The sequence below is a fragment of the Homo sapiens genome, chromosome 8, assembly GCF_000001405.40.
Source record: "Homo sapiens chromosome 8, GRCh38.p14 Primary Assembly".
In the NCBI taxonomy this organism is placed as follows: Eukaryota; Metazoa; Chordata; class Mammalia; order Primates; family Hominidae; genus Homo; species Homo sapiens.
In genome coordinates, this window is record NC_000008.11 from 41928817 (window position 1) to 41948007 (window position 19191).

The 19191-nt window shown below is 40.3% G+C and overlaps 1 protein-coding gene across 2 annotated transcripts in view, besides 1 other annotated feature; it reads right to left on the reverse strand.

Moving 5' to 3' along the window:
* The window catches only part of KAT6A (lysine acetyltransferase 6A), a 122509-nt gene continuing 103980 nt past the window's right edge, over nt 663–19191 (reverse strand). The window contains exons 11-17 of one of the 2 annotated variants that reach the window (NM_006766.5): nt 18935–19096; nt 17775–17868; nt 14932–15163; nt 13977–14184; nt 12026–12628; nt 8440–8752; nt 663–6051 (exon numbers count right to left, since the gene is read on the reverse strand). In NM_006766.5, the coding sequence (NP_006757.2) occupies nt 3389–6051; nt 8440–8752; nt 12026–12628; nt 13977–14184; nt 14932–15163; nt 17775–17868; nt 18935–19096 (4275 nt within the window). In that variant the 3' untranslated portion in view covers nt 663–3388. Of the gene's footprint in view, nt 6052–8439; nt 8753–12025; nt 12629–13232; nt 14185–14931; nt 15164–17774; nt 17869–18934; nt 19097–19191 lie in introns of those variants that run through there. The other variant, NM_001305878.2, reaches the window with a different exon arrangement.
* Nucleotides 2255–2549: a silencer, noted in NCBI's record as "tiled region #1046; HepG2 Repressive non-DNase unmatched - State 14:Gen5'". NCBI's record gives its function as "represses a minimal TATA promoter and a strong SV40 promoter by Sharpr-MPRA in HepG2 cells {active_cell/tissue: HepG2}" and the evidence as "EXISTENCE:reporter gene assay evidence [ECO:0000049][PMID:27701403]".

Sequence of the window (19191 nt, forward strand, 5' to 3'; positions counted from 1 at the left end):
GAAGTGTGGAGGCCGCTAAAACTTGAACCTGCCTCACTGCCTACCACCAGAAACTAAGGCCAATTTCCCAAAGTGAAATCAAATTTTCTGGACTCTGCCTCCTGTCCACAATTCTAAATGATGAGAGGCAAACACAACCCAAGAGACCACCAAAAAGTAATCAGCATTCAGGGCCTTGAATTCTGGCAAAAGGAGAATGACGAATCTTCCTAGATTACCCAATTAGGTAAAATGAAATGAAAAAAAACCCACAACGCTTTTAAAAATACTGTTACATTATAAAATAAGATCTATAAAAATTACTCCTCCCATTTATCACAAGTCTAGGAGCTACTTGTTATTGCAATTGCTTTTTTTTAGGGGAGTGGGGGGGACGGGAATTAAAATCCCTTTAGGAGGTTTTTATATGAATGCCCCTACAAAATCCAAAGTAGGGTTACCGTGCCATGTTCCTTGGAAATGGAAAACCCATCCATATTGTTGGCATTTAAACACAGACATAAATGAAAACTGGAATTTCAAAGCAAAGGCCATGGACTTGTACTCCTATAATAAAGAGGAAAATGAAAAGACTAATGTTTATAGGTCTCTGGGTGTAGAACAAGAATTGAAGAGTTCTGACATACTGGGAAGGGAGAAAAATTCCACATGCAAGACAGACATCCAAAATGGCTCAACATAATTTATTTTTTATGTTAAAATGTACAGAGTTCTTTTGAAAGTACTTGCTAGAAAGGGGAAAAAAAGGTATTACATACAAGGAGAGGAAGGGAGGCCGGCTGGCCCAGGAGCGCGTGACATGGAGAGATACAAAGGCATCTAGGCACCCCTTCCCCTTAGCTTACAAGTCACCATGAACAAAGTACAAAGAGGTTACAAAACAGGAAAAGCAAATATAAACAGACAGGATAGACGTGGCTTCCTTTGTACATGCGGCTTTTAGAGGCATCTGGAGCTCTATTCACACACGCTAGAGATCTCTTTAAAGAGAATTTATCTTTCTTAAAATAGTTTTTAATATTCTACAACAAAGATAAAAAATTTTAAAGATGGAATGAAATGAAAAAGCTCTTATTTTAAAAGGCATCAAAGTCACTAACAGTGAGTTTTTAAATTTCTTTTTTAGAAGATTACCCAAGTTATCTTGCTAAAAATACATTTTTTTTAAACAGAAGTGAAAAAATGACAGGTACCAATATTACTGTGTTGGATAATTTCTTTTATAATATAGAAAAGAACTTTTTTTTTCTACAATAGTTCTACAGTCACAAAGAGGCTTGTGGAAAAGGGAGCTGCCCGATTGAATTTTTTATAAAGAAACAAACAAAACCAAACACAACCGCAAACCAACAGAAACTGATTTCACGGCCCTCATTTCAACAGCTTCTCCTTCTGCCTTGACCCACCCTCCTCCCAATATACCTCCCTCCCGACCCACCCCGTCCCCACCCCAACCAGGAAGCAATGACACAGCTGAAGATGTAGGGCGATGGCAGCACAGTGCACTTTCTACATAGATGACTGGGAACTGGAATAGTATATACAGAGAAACTGGGTCCTACACAGCCTTGCACATGCTCAGAGCTGAGAGCGGGAAGATGTGGAATTCTGCGTTTCTACCTAGCACGCTTGAGAAAGTCAATTAAAGTGTATTAAAAAAACCAACAAACCTGTGCATTTGAAAAAAGTTAATGCCTAATTAGTACTTTAAAAATTTATCTATATAAAATGTACAAATAAAGGAGAGAATTTAATGCTTACAGATATTTCTCTAAGCAGTACTTCCCCCTTTTGGATATTTGACTGCACATACCAAGTGGTATAATAGTTTCCATCTTCTAATGATGGAATATATATATATATATATGTGTGTGTGTGTGTGTGTGTGTGTGTGTATATATATATATATATATTTTTTTTTTTTTTTTTTTTTTTTTTACCTATCCCTGGAGCAAGTAATAGGAAGAGAATGGGCAAACTGGTTGCACGAGAGAAAAGAGAATGGAGTTGGGAGCAACACATGAACTTGCGTTATAACATTCTGCTGTCCAGATCTGCCCTACTGTGCTGGTGGTCGGTCTGTCCCTCTTCTCATTAGCCACTCACAGGAGAGGTGCTTGTGCACTCTGATTCACAGGGGATGAACTCAGGATCTCAAAAGACATACAAAAACTAGAGGTATGTATCACTTAAATAGCTACGAAACTCACACCGTGATCTCCCTTCTGACACACATCTGCGCCATCTCTTCCAACATAAAATAAACTGTTTCAATGGTTTGTCAGTTATTTTTCAAATCACTAAAATGTACAGTCATCCACCAACAATTTAAGAAAGAACCTAAGAGGCAAATCACTGGGGACTGCTATTTGAGTTTTATCAGTCAAAGGCTCAAGCATCAAGACCCTCAGTTAGCATTTCAAAGTACATACTAGAAACAAGAGGCTGGGTGGCGTGTGTGTGCGTTATGGCTGATTCACCAGGTGGTAAAAAAACAAGAGGTTAATCTCCTCTTTTTGATTGTTAATTGACCATCTCTATTCCTCCAAAGGCTGGATTTGGATTGCAAACAGCTTTTCTCTGAGATTCTGCTGTTAATTGAGACTTACAGTATTTTTGTGTCTCTGAGTGCTGAGTGGGAATATTTTAAAAAAGAAGAAAAAAATTATATTACACTTGATTCAAGAACAACAAAGATTTCAATGAAGTCCGTCTATAAAGAAACATTCTTGGGGAAGGGTTTCAAGAGGTGTGTGTGTGTGAGGAGTGGAGGGGATTTTAAAAGGAGAAGCATTTTCCTGCCTCACTTTATTAATAATAATAATAATAATATTAACAATAATAATAAGTTTAAGGAGCTTGGGTTGTTCTCCATGTCCCCATCCGAGTCTCCCCTAAGTGCCTCCTGCTGGAATGAAGTAGGAAATGAAAGGTTGGGTTTGGAGGAAAGGGTCTGGTTAACCCTTGAGATGTATATAACATTTAAAAATGACAACATTGGGAGCTGCAAACAGTGAGGGGAAACATACATTTTAAAATAAAGATAATTCACTTTTACACAAATTCTGTCCATGTGGTATGTAAAGAAAGTAAGGCTCTTTTTAATTATGAAAAGATTTTGTGCATGTTTCCCCATCCCCAAATCCATTTTTAGATGAGTTCTACTGTAAAATGTTCAAGATTGTGAAGAAAACCAAAACCCAGAACAAAATGAACCCAAAAAAAGAGAAGATCAGGTTTTCTAAAAAATAAAATAAACCAAAGAAAAATTCCTCTAAATCTACAGCAATATTTTAACTGGAAAAAGGTCCATTTTTCTCTGGTTTGTCAGTATAAAAGGTTCCTTTATTTATATATATTTAAGTTTTTGATTGCAAGTTCATCTTGCTCATCTTCTCATGTAAGGTCCGTTGAGTGACTGCTTGGGCACGCCAGCAGCGTTCATGTAGCTGTGATGGGAGGGGCCTGTGTACATCATGTTCCCATGAGGGTTAGGCTGCATAGGCTGCTGGGTATAGGCCTGGCTCCCCATCATTCCCATCTGCATCTGCATAGGATACTGTGCTGTCTGGTTCATGTAGGCAGGGTTACTATGGTAACTGCTGTTCATCATGGGCTGTGTCATTCGATAGCTGTTCATGGCATTCAAGGTGTTCATATTCATGGAATTGACATTATAGGCGGGAGTAGGCATCAGATTAACCCCCATGTTCATGCCACGCTGAACAGCCAGTGCGCGAGGGCCAGCCTGCATGGCAACTGCCGATGGGCTACGGCCATACAGCTGCTGCTGGTGAGCAGCCGCAGAGGGCAGTGGCGCAGACTTGGAGCGGATGGAAATGTGCCCCTTCACTGGCATTTGCCCTTGCAATCTCTGCGTGTGAGGAATGCCAATGTTGGTGGCAGACATGTTGCACTGAAGCAGAGGAGATGTGAGGTTCATGGTAGTGGATGCCAAGTTTGGGGGTGGCGTCATGGTGGCTTGTGCTTGAGGAGTCCCAGCTAAGGGATGAGATGGAGCCAGCTGAGCCAGTCCTGTATTGGACAGAGAAACACTGGTTGCATAGGAAGTCACAGCAGGAGAATGGCTATAAGGCATGGCATGAGGGTCCATAATGGTGTTGGTCAGCTGCTGCAGCTTGGCTAGGCTGAAGGTGGCTGATGGTTGAGAGTAGCTGCCGGCACCAAAATCCCCTGGAATCCTCTCATAGATACTTATGTTCCCAGTGCTTCCAGATTCTGGTATCTCCATGATCATAGGAGCTGGGGTGAAACTGTTATTCATACTACACTGTGACAGCGGGGGCTGCTGCTGGGGAGGGGGTGGGGGTGGAGGCTGCTGGGGCTGAGGCTGCGGCTGCTGTTGCGGCTGCTGCTGGGGTGGTGGAGGCTGTGGTGCTGGTTGTGGTTGTGGCGGCGGCGGCTGTGGCTGCTGTGGAGGCGGTGGTGGCGGCTGCTGCTGCTGGTTACTGGGAGGCCTCTCCACCACGCAGCTCTGAGGTGACTTGATGCTGCAGTTGGCAGCAGGCTGGACGCTGCTCTGCTGCATCATGCTGCAGCTGCTGCCCATGCTGGCCATCTGCTGAGTGACCACACAGCTGCTCTGGGTGAGGCTGCTGGAGGACGACAGCCCACCGTAGGAGCAGCTGCTCTGGGAAGAGCTGTTCCCACAGATGCTGCCGCCCATCGTGGAGTCGTAACTGCTTGGGTTCTCATAGTTTTCAGTGGTGCTCTCAATGCTGCCCAGGTCACTGAAGCCGCTGTCCACCACCTGCTGAGAGTGGTCTGATACGGAAGGCACATCCATCATGGGGCTGGTCTCCATGTTCTGCATAGAGGGTGCGGACAGGGATCCTTGTTCTGGGCTGATCTGGGTGTAGCCACTCTCAAGGGCAGGCACGTTGGGACTGCTGACCGAACGGACTGACTGGCTGGGGTGAGACTGAACGGAGGAGATAGGGCTATTATGTTCTGACGCATGACAGTCTTCAACCATGGACATCTGAGGGTCCTCGTCAGCCTGGGTGTAACTCTGCAGGGTCTGACACGCCGCAAGAGTTTCCTCACAGTCCTGGTAGGCGCCCTCATGCTCACTGCTTTCTTCTTGAGTCAAAGACTGCACTGCCTGTACAGTTTCCAGATCCAGCTCACTATGAGGAATCTCTTCCTCCTCTTTTAATTCGATTAACTCTTCCTTAGTGTGGGAGTCTTCTTCGTGGTCGTCCTCAGACCCAGCCATCTGCTCTGACACCACGGACGTGTCATGGGAAGGCTGCTCCTCTTCGGAATCCAGCTCGGTTTCCTCTTTATCCTTTATCTTTTCCCTACTCTTCTGCATATTAGCATCTAAAAAAGACTCTTGAACACCAGGCTCCTCCTTGACATCTTCCCTCGTGGGCTGTTCCTCTAGCTCCTTTTTCTTTGTGGACTCCAGGTGGCCATCATCCTCATCATCAGCGTCGTGGTCGTCATTCTGGGCAGTCTCTGCAGCTGCATCTTCCTCCTCCTCTGGCTCTGGCTCCTCTAATTCCTGCTGCTCCTCCTCTGACTGCCTCTGCTCCTCTGAGACACGGGGCTTCTCTTCTTCCTCCTCCACCTCAGGCTCCTTGGTTTCGGTCTCAGGACTATTGCTGCTGTCTGCTGGAGAGGCTGCTGGGACTTCACTGCTGGCTGCATCCTCTTCCTCACCCTCTTCAGCCTCTTCTGCCTCTGCTTGCATCTCCTCCTCCTCCTTCCTCTCCTCGGGTAGGGGCATGTCTTCTTTTGGCTCAACAGTTTCTTCACTCTCCTGGATCTTGGGTTTACGTCCAGCTTTAGGAATGGAAACGATGGGCTCAATGACGCATGCTTGAGTAGAAACTGGCATGATTTCCCGACTCAACTTAAATCCTGGTTTTCGACCAGGTCTTTTCTTCCAGTGGATTGGTTTGCGGCTCTTGCCTTTGGGCCATCCCTTTTTCTTTTTCAAAGGTGTGGATGTATCTGGCTCAAGAGGAGAATTCTTCACATCACGTTTTCGCAAAAGAGATACTGGCTTTAAGATAGGAGTGTCTATACAGGAAGGAAAAAAAACAAAGACAGGTTACAAGGTCTTACATTTTCTAGTTCCTTCTTCCAAGACTAGCATATACAATAGAAATGACTTTATTAATCATTACTTTTATAAACTCCTGATTGTCTTCATTTTAAAGTTAAGAACCTAGAGGATAAAACTAATTAGTGACATATTCTAAGTCACACAGTGAATTGGCAGAACTATGAAAGAATCCTGGTCAACATTATGTTATCAGACACTAGTCAGAACCAATTCAAGACTACCATCATCAGCTGCATGTCTGTGGGAAGTTACTCTACATTTCAGTTTCATCATCTGTAAAATGGAGATGAACTTTATAAAGAGGCAAATAAGTAGTAAGCAGTACTTTTATCAAGTTGTCTCTACTAAAAGTTACAAATTAGCTTATTTCCTCTTTTTTTTTCTGCTTGTGATTTACTTTATCTCTCGGATTTTCTTACTTTCCACAAATCATCACTTCAGGTAGTATGATGAGCCAATTACTCTAGGCCATGACTGAGCCATCGTATGTGAACAGTTGTTCAATTAATGTTGTGTTTGTATGGGAATAGCTGCAAAGCATTTATTTAGTCCTAGACAAAAACTGACATTTAGACTTAGACAAACAAGAAAAAATTAAAGCACCAATTACATTCATTAGAAATAAATTTTATATTATTAGCATTTTAAAAAAACTATGGTAAACTATACGTAACATAAAACTTAAAATTTTAACCATTTATAAGTGTTAAGTTCAGTGGCATTAAGTACACTCACATTGCCTATTAATTTTTAAAGAATAAGAATACCAAGACAAGAACATGATGCAGTGGGGGCACGGCTAAAAAGGCACAGTTAGTAGTAGTAACTTGAAAGTCAACAAAGGAAATGGCTGCATCAGCAAAAATCTAAGTCCATGGGAACTTAATCAGGGGTACTATTTTAGTGTACAATGATCTAAGACAGAATATAAAGTGCTAAATTTACAAAATAAATTTTTAGTTTCCTAGTTATGTTATTTCAAAACATAGCAAGTTAAACTCTGTAGAATCATTCATGATAGAGCAAAGAACACATTCATCTTATCACTATATTAAAAGTATTTGTTGGCCAGGCAGGGTGGCTCACACCTGTAATCCCAGCACTTTGGGAGTCCAAGGCGGGTGGATCACTTGAGGTCAGGAGTTTGAGACCAGCCTGGCCAACATGGTGAAACCCCGTCTCTACTAAAAATACAAAAATTAGCCAGGCATGGTGGCGTGCACCTATAATCCCAACTACTTGGGATGCTGAGGCACGAGAATCGCTTGAACCCGGAGGTGGAGGTTGCAGTGAGCTGAGACTGTGCCACTGCACTCCCACCTGGGTGACAGAGGGAGACTCCATCTCAAAAAAATAAAAAATAAAAAATAAAAAAGTATTTGTTATATAGAAAATATGAGAATGGAGAAAATGTAAGTTTATCTTCTAGACTTGAAACTGACTGAATTTTTAAAAGAATTAAAAAGTTCAACCAGTTAATGCATAAAAGCTAAAGGTTTATGTACCAAGACTGGACAAGTAGATTTCTTCAAATTTGCCCAACAAAGTAAAAATGCTCATTCTGAGCCCATGCGAGATAAACACACTGCAGATGCAGGCAGCATGAGACACTGGCAAAACTTTAGGCTAGGGTGAAAAAGACTTGTTTCTGACCTGGCTCATATATATGAGACCTAGTTTCAGTGTCTCTAGAGAAGAAATGACAACTAGGCTGCTTTAAAAGTAAATAGTTGGATTTGTATCTATACTATAAAATTTATTTTGAGTTATTGTTACCATTTGTGAGAAATTTACTACTAGTTGGGTAAGACACATTAGAGATACAATTCAGGAAAGACTCCTGAACAGATGTGACACAAGTTCCAATTTACATGAATCTGCTCTTTCTGGAGAATTGTCTTCTTAGCATTCACTCATTTAACACTACTTACTGAGCGCCGGGCTTAAGCACTCAGCATACAGCAATGAGCAAAACAGACTAAGTCTAGAGAATGCACATTCTAGTGAAGGGTTATTACATCTTCCTGATGCTAAGTCCAACTCTCCCATTAACTAAAGATTCTGATAAAGGCTTAGAAAGGATTGGGCAAAAAAGAACAGTTGCCTAATAGTAAGATATTTTCTGCAGAGGCAAATTAATAGAGGTTCTGAGTTGAAGGGAAAACACATTTAAAAATCAAGATGGATATACTTGATACAACTTTTTAGAGATTGCCAAACGTTCCTTTTCTTGCTTAGTGGGTTGTGTTCATTTTTCAGCCTTTTTACTGAAGGGTCTGTCACTGCTACTGCTATATATCTGAAGACAATAAACCACAGTAAGTGAGTTCTGTAAAACATACCATCAGCATCATCTGACTCTTCATCTTCTTCTTCATCTTTAGACTTCCTCTTAGAAGAGGACTGACACCTGAGTACATCCTGCGAAGACAAACGACGGAAGTATTCTCTAGGGAAAAGTTCATTTTCATCCTCTTCCTCCTCTTCTTCATCGATCTCAAACGTGGGTTCTAATCTTGGCATTGGCCTCTCGGAGTCAGAATCTTCAAAAGGTTCATCTAACACTTCAGTGGTCTCAGAAATAGTTTCTGTGACTACACTGCTATTGTGGTGTTTGCGCTTTCGGACTCTCCTCCTTCGGTGGAGAAATGGTTTCTGTTTAATAGAGAAAGCAAGTATTTACAGTTATGAACACTATCTTTTCTATTAATAATACGAAAACAGTTTTAAAACCAAATAGAATTAGCACATATAAAATGAGGATGTTGTTTGCCAAAAAATATTTTGAATATTATTTCAAAATACTATAGTAAGATAATACACTTATTATAAATACAAAGGTATTAGGCAATTGAACACAACTTTGTAAAAGAATAGGCAGCCATCTCCAAATAGCAGACATTATAATTCTCTTAATAGTTCAGTTAAATTTAGCACCCTAGAGAGTTGCCCTGTTTTAATACTGAACTGACCCAGAGGCTAATCCCTTAACTTTTCCAACTTAAGAGCAAAAGAGAAATAAAAACACTTTGTCTTATAGCACTACTGTGAAGGTTTGCAGAACTATCAGTAAAGTTGTATGCCATTTTCATGAACTACTCATAAAAAGCTGTGGAATGTAGAAATATGGGGCTGAAATGTATTTACTCAGTGTTAGTGAAATATTTCAAAAGTAAAATAAATCTGTTACTGAAATTTGGGCACACTGAGCACAACTTTGCACTGGACTGACCAAATAGCTAAAATTATACAACTAATATCACAAAATAAGAGATGATGCCCCAGAGATTATCTAATCCAATCCCTTCATTCTATAGATGTCAGAGAGGGTATAGGACTTGCTTAAGTTCACACATCCAGTCAAAGCATTTATTCATTAACTTCAAAATTACTTTGCATGTGAGCTTACTGCCTGTTCTTTTTCTTTTTTTAACATGATTTGTTTTACTTCATAAATTGGCAATACAAGTGCTAGGATGACAAAGATCTATTCTTCATGATCATGCAATGAACAGCAGTTAGTCAATGTTCAATTTTTCTCTACTTCAAACTTAATAGTCCCAATCGAGAATGTAATTTTCAAATTAGATTAAAAATGGCCCTGGTCCTTGGAGAAAAGGCTGATTCTAGGACAAGGGCATGAAATATACAAGATGAACTTGAAGCATCTTGTAGTGCCAGAAAGGAAATGCTTAAAAACAAACAAAAAGACCCCACAATGACAACAACAGTATATATGTTAAACACAGGAGGCCAGGCGCGGTGGCTCACACCTGTAATCCCAGCACCTTGGAGGCCAAGGCAGGTGGACCGCCCAAGCTCAGGAGTTCAAGACCAGCCTGAGCAACATAGCGAAACCCTGTCTCTATCAAAAGTACAAAAAATTAGCCAGGCGTGATGGAACATGCCTGTAGTCCAAGTTATTCAAGAGGCTGAGGTGGGAGCGTTGCTTGCATCCCAGGAGGTGGAGGTTGCAGTGAGCTGAGATCATGCCGCTGCACTCCAGCCTAGGTGACAGAGTAAGACCCCATCTGGGGAAGGAAAAAAAAAAAAAAAAAAAAAAAGCAGCAGCAGCCCAAGAGGGAAACTAAAAGAAGGAGCTTCTAATGGTCAAAACTGGAACAATCTGAGCAACAAATTTTAAAAAGCAGTAGTATTGGATTATAAAGTGAAGTATCACGTAAATATCTGGGCCAATAATGATATAAATAAATGCTTGGATAAATAAACAGATGAGGGAGAAAGGACAAATCTCCCAAGCAGAAATTCAAATAATTTATGCTGAGCCTCCACTCTGAGGGGGTAGAAATCTTAAGTGTGGCTATGCACAGTGACTTCCTTCCAGTAAAGGGAAAAGAAAAGTAGAAACCTGACAAACAATATCTTAAGCCAGGTCATCAAAGTTAACTTCAATAGGGAAAAATCAAATTGATAATACCCTTATATTTGATACTTGCTTCTTTTTATTTTTACAGACGGAGTCTTGCTATGTCACGCAGGTTGGACTACAGTGGCTATTTACAGGTACAATCATTGTGCACTACAGCCTCCAGCTCAAGTGATCCTCCCGCCTCAGCCTCCCAAGTAGCTAGGATTACAAGAGTGACCACTATGCCCAGCTTCCCTATACATACTGATAGATATATGCCAACAGGTACCCTTTAATTATGTGATGAGAATGGCACTTTACCTCTATGGTCTTCCTCTCAAGAATATATTACCCCATTCTAATATCATGAGGGATCATCTACAAAATACCTGACCAGTCATTCTCAAAACTATGAAGGCCATCGAAACTAAGGAAATTCTGAGAAACTACCACAGCCAAGAGGAACCTAAAGACACATGACTACTAAATGTAATGCGATATGCTGGGTGGGATCCTGGAACAGAAAAAGGACGTTAGGGAAAACTATGGAAATCTGAATAAAGTATGAACTCTAGTTACTGATGTATCTACACTGGTTCAGTAACTGTGATAGATGTACCACACCAACGCAAGGGATTAATAATAGAGGAAACTGGCTGGGGTATGCGAGAACTCTCTGTACTTTCTTTGCATTAATTCTGTAAATGTAAAACTGCTCTGAAGATATTATTCTTAAAACAAAACAAAACAAAACAAAAGATCCTGTCTTGCTTTTTAAGACCCTGTAAGGAAAGGAACGATTGTGCTGCTTTGGCTGGAAGCTGGCTGAGTGGCTCTTCCAGGGAGCAGCCTCGCTTCAGTCTGGCTGCCTCCTGGCAATGCTTAAAATCCACTCCATAGCCTGGGATGTTTCTGGTAAACGGCTTAACAGAATTCATTATCATCATTGTACATTATTTAATAACTAATTGGCTATCATTATGATGGAATATAGTTTAGAAAATATTTTTAAAGCAAGAGAGACCACGTTAAACCACTGGAGGGATGTGTGAGAAGTGGGGAGAGTAGAGAGAAAACAATAGCACCCAAGATGAGCTACTGTACTCTGAGTACCCCAAAATATAGGGCAGCACTATGTTCACTTTCCAATTAATTATGTAATATTTTGGCCTCCTTTTCTAATATAAACACTTCTAATCTGTACATACTTTAAAAATATCTTTTAAAGATATTTTAGGGCTTTAAGCCCCTAAAAGTCATGATTTGAACATCAAACCAGTAAGCTAAAAAAAAGTTTGTTTGCATCCCAGGAGGTGAAGCCCTTAAATAAGCTTATGATTTCTAAGTGAATTCCCATGAATCAAAGAAGTCAAACACACACACACATCTCAAATGTTCACTGGGAAGATCTTGAGCTACAATATACAGAGGCTTAAGGTTTATAAAGCAATGCACTAGGAATTTCTAACTTATACTCTTTCAGAACTGTAAGCTAAAACGAGAAGGTGTAAGATAAACTGGAATTGGAGGAAGAGAAGACCTGGAAAGAAATGCGTTACCTTTCGCTTCAGCGTGGGCTTTGTGAGAATTGGTGGCGAGCTTGACCGAGGGCTTTCCGGCTCCTCCTCCTCCTCGCTGCTCTCACTGAAGCCCCTGAGGACAGCCCTGTCACCCTCACTGTAGCGACGGGGCAGCCTCTCACTTCCTTCTGTTAATCTGCACTTCAGAGCCTCAGGGCTTTTCTTGAGCTGTCCTCGCCAGGGCTCAACCCCCTCACTGAGTCTTCTCTTGGGAAGGTCAGGTTTCCCGTCCTGGCTTGGCTGCTCCTCAGAAGCCACCAGCTGTTCTTCACTTTCAGTGTATTGTTCCTGGGTGGCTTCTGATTTCTCCCCACATTCTCCATATTGTTCCTGAGGAGCTGAAGACGTCTCTTCCAAGAGCAGTTTAGAATCTTTATCACCAAAACGTTCCTGGGTTTTTCTGTTCTTCCTCCCCCAGCGGCCCCTCCGAGATGGCTGGCTATTTGCAGGAAGACTATCATGAGGAAGGACTTGTTTGCTCAAACGTGTAGAACTGACTGGAGCCATAACTTCTGGTTTCTTTTCACTTTCTACTGAATAAGAATCTTGTTCTTTGTTCTCATGAGACACAGACTTTCCCACCTGATTTTAGAAAATAAAACAATGCTGGTTAATTTTTCAGTCTTGTTTGCTTACATTTACCTATTCTGACCTTTTAAGTATTGAGAGAAGAAAAGGAAACTGAGCTTTAAAAAGAAAATGATCAGTTATTTAACATGGATATTTCCTGTTTCAGCACTGCTTTAAATTCTGTATATGCATTATTTATTTAATCTCCCCAACAATCATATGAAGTATTACCACTACAACTCCACTTTACAAATGAGGCATGTGGGGTAGAAAAAAATTTAAGTAATCTGCCCCAGGTCACGCAAGAGCAAGAGAAGATGCTGGGATAGAAAGCCTGGCAGTCTGACTCCAGAGCCTATGTTCTGAATCTTTCTGCAGTACCACCCTCAATAAGCAAAGTGAATACTATTGTTCTTTTAAATGTTAAATGAGATTGTTTAATAAAATTTCTCAGAAATAAAAATTTGTAAACAGGGTGGAGGAGACAGGATCTTGAGACATGGGCAAGAGGAAGGAGGCATTTGAGAAATATGAAAGAAAGTTTATGTAGTTTTTAAATTTACTTTTATTCTGAATAATTTCATTTTGAAAAATTAAACTGCACTAAAGAGAGGCATGGGATTTTTTATGTTTATTAAAGGAGGATACCGGTGTTGAAAGGATGAAGCACTGCTTAAAAAAAAGAGCTATAAAAGTATGCATCACATGAAGAAAAATACTGACAATGACACATGCACTACAGTTCACCAGCAACCCTTTAACGGCTAAAGAGATCTGTGTGTCCACAGGATGTTTTGGTGCCCCATCAGAAAACATACACAAGTTTACAATAGTTACTTAATATTCTATTTAAGGAAAATGTATCTCCATTTCATTTTGTTGTTGGGTTTTTTTTGTAGAGATGGGGTCTCACTATATTTCCCTGGTTGTCCTGAACTCCTAATCTCAAGCAATCCTCCCGCCTGGGCCTCCTAAAGCGCTGAGATTACAGGCATGAAACACCACACCCAACCTCCATTTCATTTTTAAAAACTGTCAGATTTGGATTCAATTCAGATTTCTCAACTACTATCCAGCTTAAAACTGAGCTGCTTCTTGGCACCCTGGTAACAAATATTTTTCTCACAAGTAACACATTATAAGAAATTTGATGGTCTCCTCCTAATTGTCCAAGGCTTAAAAATACTTAAGTAAACCAGGTCCAGTCTTCTTGAAATCTCTACCACTGAAATAAAACTCTTGACATTCTAATGTGAATTTACTTTTCTGTGAAAGATGATCATAATACATTATTATAAATACTCATGAAATCAAAAATATATCTTCTGTCATCAAAAATAGAGACTATTCATGCCCTTACACTGATCTCTAATTCTCTTTCCTGGCACTGTGGCTCTTCGTTTTCTCCTTCCTCAGCCTCCTCTTCTTCCTCCTCTGAGACCACAGAGTTGGACACTATGACTGGAGTCCAGCGCAAACATTCTGGATCTACATCTACAGGTCGCAAATTCAGCTGAAGCTTTGCCATGTGATCCTGGATAAGTTTTTCCCGGCGGATAATCACAAATCTGGAACCAGAGAAAAGTTTATAGCAATCAACAATGTACAAGGTGTACATAAAAATGAATGTGGAGATGAGACCCCTGGTGAAGCATGTAAGATGATAGGTGCTGCAAAGATAGCCTGCCTGGGACGATGGAATGCAGAAATGTGCCACCACATGAGACGGCCAGGAGTGTGAAGCAGGACAAATGCTTCGCTCTCTACCGTGGCCGCGGGCTGTTTTCACTGCCTGCTGTCTCACACGTCCCGCTCCAGAAGTTCTGCTGCTCTTCTGCACTCTCTTTCCTATTCTCCATTTATTTGGCTCAAATGCCTCCTTTCTTTGTGACCTTTTTCTGACCACTTTAGTGAAGGGTGAACTGTCTGTTCTTCCTTTCAATCTATATTTACTTTGTGCCATTTATATGAAAATTTAACATGGGCATTTTATTTAATGACTGTTTCTAGAGTGGTTACTTCTTGTATTGTGAAAGAGCTCCCAATACTAGAAGATGAAAGATTCAGTAGCTTAGGTCCAAAAATTAGGGGTATCAGAAAAACAATTCAGTTTAAAAAGCATATATATAGACTATATATAGACCATATATATAGTCAATCAAATAAAATATCCTAGAAAGGAAAATGATATCTCATTATCACCAAGTATATCATTTATATTAGTTAATGCCCTTTCATCAATAATCTGACTGGCTGATCCAAAAAACTTCAACCTAATTATCTTTCAAAGGTATACAAAAAGATGTGATACTCACTGGTCACTACGGAAGTCCAGCATTCGTAGGTGGTGGAGTGTGGAAGTGATGTCTTGAGGGCAGATTCCAGTCAACTTGCTTAACTTCTTAATGCTGATCTGCTTGTCATTTTGGTGATAAAGGCACTCCAATATTACACTTTTCCAATATGCCATGTAGGAAAGACGACCCAGATCAGATAACGGTTTCTCTGGAGACCCTGCTTGGCCTTCACGCTTTGATAACAAATAACCTAAAGAATCACAAATAACTCAAATCAGAACTAGGTCAGCAACTCTGAAAAACTGGATTCACCAAAATAACAATCCCCTCTTCTACAACCAAGAATAACTCCAAAGGTAAATTCCTTCCAAAAAAAAAAAGAGAGAAACAAATTGCAAAACTACTTCAAAACAAATCTGCAGAAAGAATACATAATTTATATATATTGAAGACTAAGTTAGTATTATTATGTCTACAGTTAATATCAATCACCTTGTTAAAATATTCGAAGTGTTAAAAATCAGGACTGTTAACAGTTTCGTTCAACGTCCTGGGGAAAACAAGCCTTGCATGCTTTATTTGGACCACTAGATGGCAACTGCTGTATCTGAACTGAGAAGTACAAAAGAATGCCTTCATTTTCACATAATCCTATTAAAATTGTAGTTCTGTCAGTGAATTAGATGACAATCTTTCACTTCAACCAAAACTCCTCACAATTACCTATCATTCTAACTCTAGGCAAGCAGGACTGCCAATATAAGTGTGGAACTGTGGACTCTGTCCTCTATAGTGCACAACTCTCAAGAACTGAAAAACAAAGGCCTAACTTCTAAGGAAAAGCAACGAAAATGGAGATGGCAGAGAAAGGTATTTTTACTGTCATTAAAGAAAACATAAAAGCAGTCTAAGAATGTTAATTTGGAAACGTATTACATTAGGAAAAGTAAATACAAACAATACTGTTATTGCACGGACTGTTTGTATACCATACACACACACCCCCAATCACCAAAAGTAAAATATTTTCCCTAACTTTGCAATTTAATGGCATATATAACATGTCTAATCATGAGTCCTATTTCAAAACAATATATTAACATTAAAGGAAGTAATCTGAGTTCCATCCCCTACTGCTCATCTAAAAAGACCAGAAAATGTGTAAAACAACCAGTAGCACAAGCTTCCAATAAAATATGGACAGAAGGACAGTCTAAAGCTAAGAGAAGGCTTAATTAACATCTCAAGACTAGAATCAAAATCCTTTGTTTGAACCATTAGTTCTGCATATATTCATCTAAATATCATTGTATAGCAATATCTGAGGTAAAATATTCCCTCAAATTACACAGATCCCACAATGATCTCTTTAGAACTGTGAGCTATCACTTTTGAACTCAGATTAAACAATTTTCTCTATCATTCACTTCTTCAGATATTTAAAGATGTGTTGCAGATGTTTAACCACTAGGTAGAGCCTAACTAAAAAAAATGCACACATTTTCTCAGATAACTGGATAACAAAAATACGGCAGGTATAGTACTTTTTTTTTTTTTTTTGAGATGGAGTTTTGCTCGTCACCCAGGCTAGAGTGCAGTGGCGTGATCTTGGCTCACTGAAACCTCCACCTCCCGGGTTCAAGCAATTCTTCTGCCTCAGCCTCCCAAGTAGCTGGGATTACAGGCGCCCACCACCACACCCAGCTAATTTTTTGTATTTTTAGTAGAGACGAGGTTTCACCATGTTGGGCAGGCTGGTCTCAAACTCCCGACCTCATGATCTGCCCACTTTGGCCTCCCAAAGTGTTGGGATTACAGGAGTGAGCCACCACACCCGGCCCACAGTACTTCCTTATTAGCTCTAATTGAAGTAGTTATACAATGTTTTTAGTATTATTAGTATTACTGCATGAAACTGAGTTCCATTGTAAATGAACAATAGGAAATTAAAGGTATGTGCTACACATCACACAAAATTTTATTCAATATTAGCTGTTTAAAAATATTTCGTGTCCAAGGCCACGCATGGTGGCTCACGCCTGTAATCCCAGTACTTTGGGAGGCCAAGGCGGGTGGATCACGAGGTCAGGAGATCGAGACCATCCTGGCTAACACGGTAAAACCCCGTCTCTAGTAAAAATACAAAAAAATTAGCCGGGTTGTGGTGGCTGGTGCCTGTAGTCCCAGCTACTCGGGAGGCTGAGGCAGAAGAATAGCCTGAACCCAGGAGGCAGAGCTTGCAGTGAGCCGAGATCACGCCACTGCACTCCAGCCTGGGTGACAGAGCGAGACTCTGTCTCTCAAAAAAAAAAAAAAAAATTCGTGTCCAACCAAAATAAAAGGAACGTGTGGCTTTAGGTTTTATTTATTTCCATTTTTATTTTGAGACAGAGTCTTGCTCTGTGGCCCAGGCTAGGGCCTGCAATGCAGGGGTAGCATTGCTCACTGCAGCTTCAACCTCCTGGGCACTCAAGTGATCCTCTCACCTCTGCTTCCTGAGTAGGTGGAACCCTAGGTACATGCCATCATGCCCACCTAACTTTTTAAATTTTTTGTAGAGACAGGGTCTTGCCATGTTGCCTAAGCTGGTCTTGAACTACTGGGCTCAAGCAATCCTCCCACCCCAGTTTCCCAAAGTGCTGGGATTAGAGGTATGAGCCACAGTGTCCAGCAGTGGCTTTAGGTTTTAAAGAATCATATAGCTATATGACAAAAGATACTAGCAGCCAACAAAGCACCTACAAATCTTTAAATATATATATATACACACACACACACACACACACACACACACACACACACACACACACACAGAGAAGGTCCACTGGAAAAGACCAATGAGAAATTAATATAATCCTTACTGAAATCGATGAGAAACCTGCCATAGCCCTTACGCTGGTATTGAGGAAGAATCATTATACAGGAAACATTGTACTTCTGTTGGCAGTGCTTTTCCTGGTGGAGAAAACACAAGTCAAGTTTGAAAACAGGCTGGTAAAAGTGAATAATAACGTGAATTAAGAAACAAAGACTAATGGCCAAAACCCACAGCCCTGGTCCTTTGGGAATAGCAACGTACATCAACAAACAACTACCCAGCTGGGAGAAGATAGGATAATGTCAAGTCACTGCCATTACCCACAAAGCAACCATCCCAGGAGAGTAAAAATATATAACAAAACAATGCCATCCAACACCATCTGCAACTCAAACACAGTACGCCAATGCCTAAGGATCAGCACCGGAATCTGAGTCCCAAACAATCCGTAAAGCTACAAATGATGAATCAGTGTGCCACTCTAGAAGTGAGAAGACTCATTAATTATGTCAGAGTTTTCTTTCTCTCCTGCTCTGGTGCTCCTCAGAGCAGTCCTATTAGTTGTATCTAACTTTACACAAAATAGTCACTTTTATAATTTTATAAATGAGTGAATATATTTTAAGTCACATCTAACTAATGAAGTAGCCTAAAGAATTCTTATAAATGCTTATAAAAAGCTAGTACTTCCCCTAACTGTTTTATACACTTGGATTTTACCACAGGCTTGCTTAAATAAAAGTATATCTTTTATGTTCTCTGACTAGAAATAAACTTTCTCCCTCTAAGGGAATGGAAGATTAAAAAAGGAGAAAATATCCTTTAACCAAAATGCCTTCTTACTCTTATTTCTATGCCTAAAGTTCAAATAAGGAAGAGAAGATTGAAGCTGAGACAGAACTCAGAGAGCTAATGACTGTTTATTTCAGAAGTTCCATGTTATTACCATGGGAAGAGAAGCCATTTAAAACCTTCCCCGTGAGTATTGCCAGCAGTCCATAATCCTAGGAGAATATAGGTTGTTGAATGTTACTAAGCACCTTCTAGCACCTGGTAAGTTTCCAAATGTTCCTTCTATTCTTTCCAAACAGCTAGATGACACCTAGGAGGTGCTGCATCTTGTTGTGTCCCCGAGTGAGAACCAGCAAAGATTCTTTCAGATTTCTATATGAGTTCAAACAAACTTTAAGCTGACATACTTACCTTAGAAAAGTAGCCAACAAGGTGGCAGCCCTTGACATCATTCTGTGTTAGTACATAAAAAAGAAATGGCTCCACATCGTAATAGAGGGTTTTGTGGTCAAGAAACAACTTTGCCAAAAGACACAGGTTTTGACAATAAATGGTACTCACATTCCCATCAACCTAGAGAAATAAACAGAACAAAACAGTCAGTAGAGGGTCTCTTTAGTTCTAGAATAATATGTATCAGTTAAAAGCATCTCTAGATATCCACAGTC